Source organism: Homo sapiens, chromosome 14, assembly GCF_000001405.40.
Source record: "Homo sapiens chromosome 14, GRCh38.p14 Primary Assembly".
Classification (NCBI taxonomy): Eukaryota; Metazoa; Chordata; class Mammalia; order Primates; family Hominidae; genus Homo; species Homo sapiens.
In genome coordinates this window covers 74,410,524-74,424,728 of record NC_000014.9, presented here as the reverse complement: position 1 = coordinate 74,424,728, position 14,205 = coordinate 74,410,524, and the positions used below count along the sequence as shown (strand labels likewise).

Sequence of the window (14,205 nt, the reverse complement as noted above, 5' to 3'; positions counted from 1 at the left end):
GACCTGATTATTGTCACCCCTACCCCCTCTTCTCCCAGCATGGCCATGTCTCCCTTTGTCCTTGGCCACCGTGGGGTCCCAGAATCAGTGAAGCCAAACTTATAAACCTTAAGGAGAAAAAAGTGTGCCCTCCCTTCTTCTCCTCTTCCATCATCACCTATAGGAGATAATATAAGGTAAGAGTCTGACTCACCGGTTTTTATTTTTTCTCCCTAAGAACCACAGATCTAGGGAAAGAGCTCCCTGAAGGCAGGAATTGTGTTGTTTTCATCTCTTTGTCCCCCTTCATGACCCCCTCCCCAACAGCACCTGGAAGATAGTAAGGACTCGGTAATCGGGTGTAAAATGAGGGAATGAAATGTTAAAGTGTATCAGAATAAAAGCATTTAACTGGGAGTCAGAAGCCCTGTGTTCTGGTCACAGATCCGCCGCTGTCTCAGGCAGGTCCATTCCCCTCTGGGGGTTCATTTTTCTCATCTGTAAAAGAAGAGAGTTGGGCTAGATGAGTTAAGATTTCAAGCCCTGATATTCTGTAGGGCTTTCTGAGGCTGTCCTAAACCCATAAACCCCTCAATTCTGCTTGAATACAGGATGCCGGCTTTATCAACCTGGTTTGACAACAAAGTTAATGACCTTTTAGTAATGAACTGGATTTTATGAATGGAGTGAAAGTGAGCAATAGGAACCAGAAAAAGCCATTTATATTTCTGATGTTTTCTTAAGAACCCCCTCTCTTATTTCTCTGGGAAAGCCATAAGTGTGACTCAGAATGACTGAACTGAGAGGGGCTCCTGCCTCCAAGCCCAGAGGCCAGGAACCACCACCCCATTATCCCTGCCACCACCACCACCACCACCACCACCATCTCTTGTGAGTAACAAAGGGCCAGGGACCCCACCATTGGCCATCTCCTACCAGGGACCCTGCCTGGCTATGATCTCCCTCCTAGGAAGACCAGAGGAGGGGACAAGCAGGAAATATCCATCCCTACAGAGAATTTATATTTGTGTTACGTGTGTGTGTGTGTGTGTGTGTATATATATATCAATCAAAATGAGTTTCTCTGATAATAATTTCCCTCAACTGTGGCAGGTCCAGCCGATGCTCAGAAAAACCTTAGCTAATTGGCATTTCGGTAGAGCTGAGTAAACCATGCCAGTGACCTCGCCGAATTATTCTGTGAGTGCCCAGCCAGGGTGGGGGACCAGTCCCCCCTCCTCACGTCATCGCTTTCTGGCTCCCAGCTGTTGGTGCAGCACTGGCAAGAATCAGCTCTCTGGAGTTAATGGACAGTCACTAACCCTCATAACAAAGTGACGGCAGCAGCAGCAGCAACAGCAAGCTAGTGAGGTGTTTTCTTTTCTGCAAGGCTGGTCTGCAGAGGAGCTGGCCTGCTACTGGGGTGAGGACAATACACTAGCCTTCCTTCTGCAGCTGTTTGGGTGGACACCCCACTCCCAGAGCTGTCAGGGTGCAGGGCATCTCTGGTCACCCAGGCAGATGACATCTGGCTCCTCTCCTGACCGGGGAAAACTACCCATTGGCTGCTTCCTGTGTTCCCCTCTTGTTCCCTCCTTGCTGAGGCTTTTATTCTGGGCCCTTCTACAAGGCCTCAAAGGGAAGAAGGGAGTCAACCCTGGCATATGGCACATGATTGGGTGATCTTGGGGGCGGGGGGGCTGCTGAGAAAGAGGAAGAATAAATGCAACATGGTCATTAAGAAATTGTGTGGCCAGGTGCAGTGGCTCACGTCTGTAATCCCAGCACTTTAGGAGGCTGAGGCGGGTGGATCACTTGAGGTCAGGAGTTCGAGACCAGCCTGGCCAACATGGCGAAACCCCCATCTCTACTAAAAGTACAAAAAGTAGCCAGGCATGTAACTTCAGCTACTCGGGAGGCTGAGGCATGAATCACTTCAGCCTGGGAGGTGCAGGCTGCAGTGAGCCAAGATCGTGCCATTGCACTGCAGCCTGGGTGATAGAGGGAGACCCTGTCTTAAAAAAAAAAAAAGAGAGAAAGGAAAGAAAGAAAGAAAAAAAAGAGAAATTGTGTGTGTGTGTGTGTGTGTGTGTGTGAAGAGAGAGATTAAAATGTTGAAATACACACATGCAGGTCCCTTCCCCTGCGTGATACACACAAAATGGCAGAAGCAGAGAATATCCAGAGATATCTGCACATCACTGGTTACCTTCAAGTCCAAAAGCCAATTCATCTGTGCATCCTAGAGGGGCTTCCAGCTCCAAAGTACACTGGGCAGACAGAAGCAGGAGGAACAGCCTTCAGCCTGGGAGAAGGAATATCCCAGTTCTCTAAACCTGCATTTTCCAACCCCTTTCCCTTCTCCGGGACTCAGCTGGCATCTCATATGGGGCAAGGTCCCCTCTGCTGCAAGCCAGGGGACACTAAAGACTGATCTTCACCCCCGCCGTTTATGTCAAGTCCTCATTTCTCTTACCTCCTGCCTTATTCTCTCTTCTCCTTCCTCCCTGCAGCTGCCCCCACCCCCATCACCCAGCAAGCAAACCAAGCAGGGAGTGGGGCCGGATGCTGAAACTCTTCATTAGGTGTGTTATCTTCCGCCATTAGATGTGCTGTTTGCTTCTAAGTGGTTGGGAATGAGCTGCTTCAGCGGAGAGACAGGTTGTTTCAGTGAGAAAAAAGATTTGATTTCCACCTGAAAATGGACTAATTTGAGTAGCAGAGCCATCATCCCAATCCTGTCAGCAATTTTCACCCTTGTCAGCCACAAGCCCATCTGCCAAGCAGGTGGATTATGCTTTAAAGGAGAGGCCAGTCTGGCCCATGGGAGCCCAGGGTGGCAGGGGGTAGAAAGAGGGCAATTGATTCTCCCTGGAAGACAGTGACTAAGAAACCTCCCGTGGGAGCCAAGAAGTGTTCAAGCTGTTTTATCTGTCTTTCCCAGGTTCCCCCATCAGCTTTCTCCTCTCCTTTTCTGTTCTCTCTTCTTCCCTCCTCTTCTCTCTCTCCAAAGGTCCTTCGACGATTCTCAAATCTCTTTCCCGCCCTGAACACTACCTAGGGCTTCGACTCCATACATCCAGCAGCCAGGCAGAATTTCTACTCTTTAACACACTTTAAAACAAAACTCGTCCACTTCTCCCCATCCTGCTCTTCTGTGTGTGTGTCTGTATGTCTCATTTTTCCAGCTTGGTACTTGGTGGGCCTTTTAATCTAAATATTCCTTTTTGTTTTTTAGTTCAGGAAACACTTGACGCTTCTGCTTCTTTAATTGTTATTTTTCTCCTCTAGTCTTTCCGTTGTGTCTTTCTGAAACTCCTATTAGATTGATGTTGGACCTCCTGGGACTCTCCTTCATGTCCCTTACCTTTCTTTTACCTTTTCCATGTTTCTGTCTTTTTGCTCTATGTCTTAGATAATTTCATTTACTTTTTCTTTTACATTGAAAGGTCTTACTTTATCTATGCCTAGTCTATTATCCAGTCTTTTCACTGAATTTTTGAAAATTTCGGCGATTATTTTTAATTTCCAAAATGCTCATGTTCTTGAATTGCTCCTTTTTCATAGCAGCCTGTTATTGTTTCATAGATGCAGTGTTCTTTTATATCTGCCTGAGGATATGAATTCAAAAAATTTTTTTTCAAAGTTTTTTTTCTGTAACTTGAATGATTTGGGATCTTATTGGGTCATTTGTTCTATTTGTTTATTTAATCCTTCTCTTTTATTTTCCTGTAGTTGTTTTTTATTATCTTTTGTTGTCCATTTATACTTAGGAATGAAGGAAGGCATTGACTAGAACAAGCAGCTAGTATGAATTTCCTCTGAAGTTGGCTAAGTTTGTTTCCACAGTAGGCCTCTCTTCTGAATGGGAGTTGTTCTTACCTCCAGTGTTTGGGGCTACAGGTTTCTCTACACTGATTTCCTCACCAAGGAATCTCATCTGCTCTTTATCTCCAGGAATTTCTGGCCCACTGATATAATTCTTTTTTGTTTTCCACAGGATTTATTATGATTTTATTCTTTTAAAAGATATACATCCTGTCATTTTAATAGAAACTTAAGAAGGAAAAGAGGTGGTCATTTGTGTTCAGGCTACCCTCTTGAACCGGCAGCAGCCTCCCCTTAGGTTTTCTGTCTCAGGTGGTTGCATGGCCTTCTATTTGGTTGACAAAGCCAGAAACCTGGGAGTCACTTTTGTCGTCTTCCTCTTCCTCTTCCTCACTTCTAGTGACCCACAGATTCCTGTTCATTTAGCCTCCTAATTGCTCCTTAGATCTGACTCTTCCTCCTTTTCAATTCTGCCACAGATCAGTTTCAGGTCCTCATCCTCTCCTGCCTGCATTTTTTTTTTTTTTTTTTGACAGAGTCTCACTCTGTCACACAGGCTGGTGGGTGGCATGATCTTGGTTCACTGCAACCTCCGCCTCCCAGGTTCAAGTGATTCTCCTGCCTCAGCCTCCCAAGTAGCTGGGATTACAGGTGCACGCCACCACACCTGGTTAATTTTGTGTTGTTAGTAGAGATGGGGTTTCACCATGTTGGCCAGGCTGGTCTCAAACTCCTGACCTCAAGTCATCCACCCGCCTCGACCTTCCAAAGTGCTGGGATTGCAGGTGTGAGCCACCGTGCCTGGCCTTCTGCCTGCATTCCTACAATAGTTTCTTAACAGGACTCCTAGCCTCCATTCTCACCCACCTTAAATCCTTTCTATCCCCTGCCGCCCATCAGAGTGCTCTGTCTAAAACATAGGCATGACCATAGAACTTCCCTGCTACACCCATCACTGGCTCCCCAGTGCTCCTCTGCATGGCATGGGAGGCCTTCCCACCTCTCCTGCCTCATTCCATCGCTACCAAACACCCTGGCTTCCCCTCTATATCACTACCCCATGCTTTTGTGCTATAACCTCTTCTGGAAATGCCCTTCTCTCATTCGGTCACCTAGATGATTCCTATTACTTTTTCCTTCAAGACTGAGTTCAGAAGTCACCTGCTCTGAGAAGCCTCTTCCTAGTTCTCACCATCACCTTCACTGCCATCCCACAATAGGGGTCCCTTATCAATGCACCCATAGCATTCTGTGTGCTGCTAGCACAACTTACTCCATCTATTGAAACTTTGTATTTGCTAGTCTGTGTTTTCTACCCTTCCTCACAGCAGGTGCCACTTCTGGTTTATTTTTGCAACCCAATAACTGGCCTGAAGTAATTGTTCAAGAAATGTTTATTGTGCAGAACCAAATGTGCCTCAGCCAGATGTATTCCATCTACCCCAAATCCTGGAAAGTACTTTCTTCCCAGAGAGTCTCAGTACACCTAGCTCACCCATTCACTAATTCACTCATTCATTCATGAGATCCACTGTCTATTGAGTGCCTAGTATATGCCACGCAAGGGAATGCAGGGAGGAGCAAGACAGACCGTTACCACCCCGCTGGAGCTCACAGTCTGGTGAAGGAGAAAGACGCTAATGAATGAATCACACATATATAAATAGAGACTGTGATAAGCACTTTGAGGCAAGGAGCATGGAGCTGTGAAGAGCAGATAACCAGGGAGGCGAAATCTAGACTGAGGAATTAGGGATGACCTCTCTAAGGAAGTGACCTTTGAGCTGAGAGCTAGAGCATCCTAATGTGAGTGAAGCTTCTGACAAACAGAGATGGGAAGTGAAGGAGAGAGGGGACATGAGCCGAAAGGGGGAATGGCACTGGGGAATGATGTGCCAGTGATCTGTTGCTGCCCAACTACCCCAAAACCTGGTGGCTTAAAACAACAGACATTTTATTATACTTCACGACTTCGGAGGGTCAGAAATGCAGGCAGGGTTTAGCTATGTGATCATTCCACTCTGTATGGCATTAACAGAGGTCACTTGGTGACAGATGGGCTGGTTTGAAGAACCGAAAATGGCTTCACTCACAATGGCTGGCATCTTGGGGATGATGAGGAGGCTGGGCTCAGCAGCTTCCATCGATGAGAGCATCTATACACACATGGCCTTTCCAGCATGGTGGCCTCAGAATCATCCAACTACTTACAGAATGGCTCAAGATTCCAAGAGCGAGTGTTCCAGTGAGCAAGGTGAAAGATGGCCTTTTATGCCTTGGCCTCAGAAGTCACATAGCATCACTTTTGCTGTGCTCTGTGGTTGAAGCAGTTGCAAGCCCACCCAGATTAGGGAGAAAGGGCATAGACCCCCTAACTCTTCCTAGAAAGAGTGTCGAATTATTTGCAGCCAGGTTTTACAATCATCACAATGATTTTATTTTTTAAGTGAGGGAGACTACAATATGTTGAAGTGCCATTAGGAAGGATCAGGAATTAGGAGCAGTTGGAGACAGAGGCGAGAGAAAGGATAATCAATTGTGTTAGGCTTGCTGAGAAGGCAAACTGAGACAAAGAAAGCTCAGTTCCCCATTTTCTTTGACTCTGCCAACCTCGCCCCCCTCGCCACCCCTGGCTCTTTCTCCCTTTATTCTCAAATGCAGCAAGCTGCAGCTAATGACTCCAAGCTGGCTTGGTGGCTCTTTCGCTTATCACCAGCCAGAAATCTTCAAATCCAGCGCCAAGCCATCAACAAACAGCCACCAGAGTCACAACACTTCACAGTTTACAGAACAGTTTATACATGATCTGATTAGAAGACGGTCTAGCGCCTGTTCTAAAAGATTTCACCTTTTCCCTGGATTTTAATAATTTACATTTAATCTTCTGCCCGATTAGGAAGTTCTGGTTTTTATCTCTCAGTTTAAAAGCAATCTCTCTTGTTGCACTGAGAGATAGTGGTCAGTATCTCAACTTCTTCACAAAGGCTCGGTATTTATTTGAATCCAGACCCTTGGGGTTATCTAGGCAGCTACCCCTGGGCTGCTAAATCACCCTAAATCTCTTAATCTTTTTTTAACGCTCCCATTTCTCATTCCTGTCACTTAAGACTCTGGTTTTAACTCATTCAAGATCAACTCCTCACCACTCTCACGCCTACCACATATCACAACCCTCCATATCCACCAATCACATAGCTCCATGCAGTTATGCCCTGAAAGGAGTGGGAAGTCAGAGCCCAGGCTTTAGACTAAATCAAACCTGGGTCAAATCCAGTCTCTCCACTGTTTAATCTTGGGCAAGTTCTGAGCCTCAGTTTCCTCATCTAAACAATGGGGAATAATAATAACCGGCTTCATTTGTTGTTGTAAAGTTTTGAGATAAAGCACATGGAACACCTCATGGGAGGATGCAATAAATAGCAGCTGTTACCATTTTACAGGGTTCTGATAAAGGCTGACCCCATCCTAGGGTGTGAGCCAACTCCTGGTCACATACACCACACTGTCCTTTTGGCCTCTCTTTAACAGTGTTCATGATGCCTCCTCCCAATCAGGTCAGAGCCCACCAGGCAGTGCACACAGCAACCCTCCTCAAGGTGTCAGCCCTACAGCAAATCCTGGAGAACATGGTCCTGTTCAGGCCAGCTGTTTTATCACCTTTGCCAGGACCTCTGGTCTCCCATCCCTGCATCTGTTTGGTGGCTAAAAGCATGCATTCTGGTCAAACAGACTTGGGTCAAATAGAGCTCTGCCACTCTCTAGCTGTGTGATCTCAGAAAATCGATTTAATTTCTCTAAACCCCAGTTTCCCCACATGTTAAAGAGGATGGATTAAATGAGATAACCCATTTGAAGCACTTGGCATGGCGTTCAGAACAAAACAAGCACCCAATAATGGTAGCTGATACATAGTGGCATTAGGGTACCGTGATTCTGACGTCAGACTTCCAAGGCTCATGTCCAGCTCCCCACTCACCAGCTGTGTGCTGTGAGCACCTACAACTTTCCTATGCCTCAGTGTCTTTTGCTGTAAAATGCAGATGATGATGACATAGACTTCACATGGCTAGTATAAGGATTAAATGAGATGATATATAGCATTTAGAACAGTGTCTGGAGCACAGTAAGAACTTAGTAAGCACAGGTTGTTATTATTATTCCATCCTTTTACTCTCAACCTTTTTGGATTGTCACATTTAAGTTTCATTGCTTATTTGCAGCATATTTTGTTAAGTCCAATCTATCTTTTTTGTTTGTTTGTTTGTTTGTTTGGTTTGTTTTTGTTTTTGAGACAAAGTCTTGCTCTGTTGCCCAGGCTGCAGTGCAGTGGTGCAATCATGGCTCACTGCAGCTTAGACCTCCTGGCCTCAAGCGATCCTCCCGCCTCGGCCTCCCAAGTAGCTGAGACTACAGGTGTGCACCACCACACCTGATTGATTTTTTTATTTTTTGTAGAGATGGGGTTTCATTATATCGCCCAGGCTGGTCTTGAACTCCTAGGCTCAACTGATCCACCCACCTTGGCCTCCCAAAATACTGATTACAGATGTGAGCCACCATGCCTAGCCTCTTTGTCTTTTTTAAGTCATCTTTGAGATATAATACACATGACAAAATTCACTAATTTTAAGTGTACAATTCAATTTGTTTTGTGAAATATATGTAGTCCTATAATCACTACCACAACCAAGAGATAGAACATTAGAACATGTGGAAAAAGAAAATATAAAAGAAACAATAAATTAAAAATTATAAAATAAAATAAAGAGATACATTTAAAAAAGAGAGAGAACAATTCTGACATTCCTTAAAGTCCTCAGGCCCCTTTCTAATCAATGCCCTCCTCTCCCCCCAGCCCTGAGCAACTACCCATCTGCTTTCTGTCGCTATAGTTTTGCCTTTCCTAGACTTTCAAATAAGTGGAATAAAACACTATATGACTATCTTTGTCTTTTTTTGGGCAATTTTATTCCATTTACATTCATTGTCATTACTGATGTAGTTGGTTATAAGCTTAACATCTTAACTATTTACTTTCTATTTGTCTCACCTATTCTATATTCCTTTTTCTATTTTTTCTTGCCTCCTTTTTGATAGCACTATCCTTTTGGATAGTACTTTGGGAGGCCAAGGTGGGAGGGTCGCTTGAGCCCAGGAGTTTGAGAACAGCCTGGGAAACATGGCAAAACCCTGTTTCTACAAAAAATACAAAAAAATAGCTGGGCGTGGTGGTACATGCCTATAGTCCCAGCTACCTGGGAGGTTGAGATAGGAGAATCCCTTGAGCCCAAAAAGTCGAGGCGCAGTGAGCTGGAATCATGCCATTGCACTCCAGTCTGGGAAACAGAATAAGACCCTGTCTCAAAAAAAAGAAAAAAATTTTATTATTTCATATTCCTCATAGTGGTTATACATTTTTTTACTCTTTTTTCAGTGACTATCAGAGCAGTGGTTCTTAAAGTGTGGTCCCTCAACCAGCAGCAGCATCAACATTACCTGGGAACTTGTTAGAAATGCAAATTCCCAGGCCCCACCCCAGAATCATAAACCGTTAGGGTAAAATCCAGCAATCCAGGTTTAACAGGTCCTCCCTGTGATGTTGATGCATGCTGAAGTCTGAGAACTCCTGCCCTGAGACAACTTTCGCTTCTGGCGGGCAGCTGGGCTGTGTGCAGATGGCCTTCATCCGACAAGGGGTGGAGCTGATTCAAAGCCTGGTTTCAGTGCTGTGAGGGCTGGTTTGTTTCTGAGTTGCTCCTACTTCCAGCATGTAGCCCTAAAGAGGTCCCAGCTGAAAACCAGGGTATTTATTGGGGGCCCTCCTCCTTAACAGGTCCTGACCTCCAATTTTTCACCCCCAGCCCTGAGGTTTCTGGAAGAGCAGCCTCTAAGCTGCCCCTTAGGAATCAGGAAAGGTCTCAAAGGGAAACGCAGTGTCAAGTGTCAGGCTGGCCTCCCTGTGTTTCTCTTTCCTCTGGGATCTTGGCATTCTGACCCTCCAGTTCTTACTCCCTTGGTGATTCCTTGAAGCCTTCATATTACCCACCCACCACACACCACTTTTCTAGCTGTTATTGGCGGTTTGGCGTGACATGACTTAGTCTGCCCCAGCTGAAAAAGGAGGCCCTCTATCCTGTTGTTATTCTATTACCAGGAATCTAGAGTCAACACGAGCATTTAGAACAGTTCCCGGCACATGGTCAAAAACTCAGTAAGTGTAAGTTATTCTTCTTCTCCCAATAAAATCCTAGAGTCATATTGAGCTGAGTTGTTAAAAATCAACTCCTCCTAAATCTCTCATACATTTGACAGATAAATGAACCAATGTCACACTGTATGATTGGACTCCAATGCAATTGGACTCAGCAGGAGACTGTAATTTGACTCCAGCGGATTCCTGAATGGTTTCCTGCCCCTGGTCTGGAAGGTGGCAGTGTGCTCTCCATCCCCAAATCAGGGAATGGGAAACCTTCGGGCCCAGCTAAGTTCTCAGCTCAGAAAAAGACAACCTGGGTGCTGCGGCCTCAGAGCCACCTTCTCTCCCTCTCCCATTGTGGGACCCAGACCCACAGCCCCAGCTGCACAATTTGGAGCAATCTCAGCTTCAGAATTCCAGACCTCTCATATAGTTCCTCTGGAGCAGAGTACACACAGGCATGCCTACACACACACGTGTGCGTGCATGCATACACAAACAAACACACACGAGTGTGGGCACACTCACCCGTAGGTCCTCAGGTAACCACACAGGGTCTGGAAGGCACACACCATCCAGGGAAGACTAAACCACAACGGTGGTGATGATAATTGCTCTGCTCTGAGTGCCGGTCCCTTACTCCAGTGAACAGGGAGAGGCAGACCCAAGGAATGGGCTGAAAGGCCAGGCCAAGCCAAGGGCAGGAAGGCTGTGTCTGGGGACCTGCCACCCTCTCCTTCTGGTCAGGAATCTGTGCTGGGTCTCCAGGATCACGTCCGCGAACTCCCCATGTGGCCCTAGTAGGATATGGGGTGAGTATGAGCTGTGTAGAGAACCATGACCCTTGGCTGGACTGTGAGCAGATGCAGCTGCTGCTAACTCAGATTGCTTTATGGAAGAAGAGGTGTGTGTGGGTGTGAGTGTGTGTCTGTGTGTGTGTGTGTGTGTGAGTGTATATGTGAGGGGGCAGGCTTTAATGCTGTGCTCAGCCGCCAAACCTAGAAAGAACCCCTCAGCCTAAGGAGGTTTTAAACTGATTTTAGATAATTTGGCTCAGAAGAAATCTATGCACTTAATTTTTTTCTGGTTTAAAAGTAGTACATGCTCATTGTAAAAAAAAAAAATGTGGAAAACAGAAAAAACAGTATAAAAAAGAAAATGAAAAGCACCTGTGCTCCCACCCCTGGAGATAATCACTCTTGACATTTTGGCGGAGTTGAGATTACATGCATTTACCATTTTCTTTTCTTCTTTCTCACCGAATCTGCAATGAGTATTTTCTCACGTCATTACTCTTTGTAAACCTGTTTGAAGGCCTCGTACAACTGTATTGTGCACAGTAATTTATTTAACTTGTTCCCAATTGCTGGACGTTTAGGTGGCTTCCAGTTTTTCATATTGTGTAAAGCCAGGACCATGTGTCTTTGTGCATGAAGTGCTGAGAAGCCCTGCTTAAAGGCACCATCAGAGCCCAAGGGAGGAGGAAAGCTGGTAAAGGCTGAGTGTGGCTGGGATTGCGGAGGCTCAGCTGGGTGTACTTTGACCAAGAAAGTCTGACAGGAGCAGTGATGGGGGAATAGGGGGAAGAACTGGGATTCAGCTGCCCCTGCCTGCTTTGAACAATTGTCCTTCAAATGCCCCTATGGTCTTCAGGTATCTTTCCATCCCTCCTGGAGAGATCAGACAGGAGGGCAGTCCTCCTGGTGAGACAGAGCGTAGGGCAGGGGTGAGTCAGATGCAGTAATCTGCTCTGTGGGCCCTGGGGCTGCCCACTCCCACCCCAAGGCCCCTGCATGCCTCAGCCCACATGGATGGTGACAGCACAGTGCACCTGACTCGAGGCTGCAGGTTGAAGGGACATACATTATGGCCAGCTGGGGGAGAGGCTGGAGGACCTTTGGGGGCCATGTCCTCCATTCCCAGAGGGTGGGCAAGATGGGCAGGGGTGGAGGGGCAGGGCTGCAACTGGGGCAGTACAGGGGCAGTCGGGAAGCCCGAGATGAATCCATGGCTCTGTCGCCCATCTGGAAAACTGATGCCTTGCTCTCCTTTGCCTTCCTCAACCTGCTCAAGGGGCTATGGTAGGGAAGGGGATGACTGTGCCCCTCACTAGGCTCTACATGTGTTCACCTACCCCCGACCCTCAAAAGGGGGCAGAGGACAACAAGACTTCACTTCTGTGGTGTTCCTTGGGGGCATAGGATCATGGAATGTTAGTGCTACAGTTGATTGACACCAGTGGCCATTTCATACAATCACTCACTGGGGAAACTGAGAGGCCACATCAAAAAGCTAATGGGGGTGGACCGGGCATGGAATCCCAGTGTACGTGACTCCCAAATCCATACGGCTTACAGAGCTCACATGCCCTCAACCCCACACCTACGGTCACATCCACTGGGAGAAGGGAGACCATGGCAGGGGCTCCAAAGCTGCCCTTGGAGGGCAGAAGAGACCAGTCCTGCTGGAAATCTGCCCAGAGGAGCCCAGCCACGAGCCCAGCCCAGCAAGGCCTCTGCCTTGGGCACTCTGTGCTCCCCACCTGCTGGAAGGTGCCCTCCACATCACTATAATCCAAGGGGTTCCCTGTATTTTTGACCCCCAGAGAGGAAGGAGGAGGCCCTGCATTTGTGAGCACTGAAGAACTATGATCCAAGTCTGCATGACCTGCCCAAGCCTGTGCGCCCTATCTCTGCCTGTGGAGAGACGTCTGCCACAGCTGCATGACAGCCTATATGGAACTCACCTCTGGTTAATGCATCAGCAGGGCCCTCAGGCCCATGGCAGCCCAGCATCTCCGGACCATCTGTGCCCTCCCTGGGGGAGGAGCTGGCGCTTGGGCCACAACCCCTTCTCTGAGTAACCCCCATGATTATTTGTTAGATGTTCTTGGAGCCCAGCTTAGAGGCAGCCAGTCTTGGATTCAGAGCTGAGAGCCACGGGTAGTGTCTTCTTGCCCCCTTGCCCTCATGCAGCCAGCAGCCCCCACCCCGCTTCCTAGGAAGTCAGCCAGGGGATCCTGGCCCCTCATGGACACACCCTCAGTGTCTTCGTCCAGGTCTGATTGGCCCCACTCCTCCCTTGCTCTGTCCCAATACCTGGGCATTGTTCCTGGAGCCATGCTCTGTCTTCAGGTTTCTCAGGAACCAGCTTCCTAGCATCCAGACATTTCTCTTGGGGCAGAAGAAGAAACTGCTCTTTTCCAGGATTTGGCTGTGGATTCTCATGGGGGCTGGGACTGGAGAGGTGACTAGATAATCGCAGCCCTGGGAGCAGAAGGATCTCCCTGCACTTTGCCCTTCACCCTTAGCAGAGACCTGCTAGAAGGCCAGACATGGCCCCAAGTGGGTGACGCCAAAGTCTGAAGCCCAGAAGTCAGGGCGGCAGCAGCCCCCTCTCTCAAAATCTACCACACATTCTCATCCCAGCCATCTCTTTGGCTCCACAAAACAACTTTATGGGGATGTATGGATGGTAATCCCTATTACCATCCACACCTTACAGATAAGGAAACAGAGGGCACGAAGATCTGCCCAAGGCGTCAAGACCAGGACTGAATCCCCAATCTTCAGATTAGAAATCCAGGGCAAGACACAGCCCCATCACCCTCCAGCTTTGCGATGGGCCAAGGAGGGGGACAGCAGGAGGTCCCTGGGGCCCCTAGCCTGCCCCTGGCCTCTCTCCATACCCCACTTGCACCTGCCACACCCAGTGTGTTGGGGGGGTTTATGGCTTCCCAGGTGCTCAGTAGGTGCTCAAAGCAGCTGAAGGAGGAAGGGAAGCCCTGAGTGTCTCCATACTTCCAAACGGGATGTGCAGGTCCAGACCTCAGAACCCAGGAGGCCCCACCTTAGATCCTGCAGGAACTTCTCAAAGTCCCAATTTGCCTTAGGGAGGAAGTTACTAAGGTGTATCCCTCTAAGACCATTGCTAGGGACAAGCATCCTCCCTCAGTAAGAGCTGACAGCTGTGAGCACATGCCGTGTGCCAAGCTCTGGACTCAGCGCGCTCCCATTCGACCCTAGAATGAATCCTTTCTCAACCCTAAGTCCCACCTGCCACTGAGTCCTGTCAATATTTCCCAGGATCAGTTCCCTTTCCTCCATCTACACCACTACTGAACCCCAGTTATCTTCGCTAGCCTGCAGCCATAGCAAAGGCCCCCTAATGGGGTCAGTCGGTCCAGCCCTCTGCAGTCCACT

General features: G+C 47.7%; 1 protein-coding gene across 2 annotated transcripts in view; it reads left to right on the top strand.

The window, feature by feature from the left end:
- Positions 1-14,205, top strand: part of SYNDIG1L (synapse differentiation inducing 1 like) — a 74,245-nt gene that overhangs the window by 55,415 nt on the left and 4,625 nt on the right. The gene's annotated exons all lie outside the window — the stretch shown is intronic.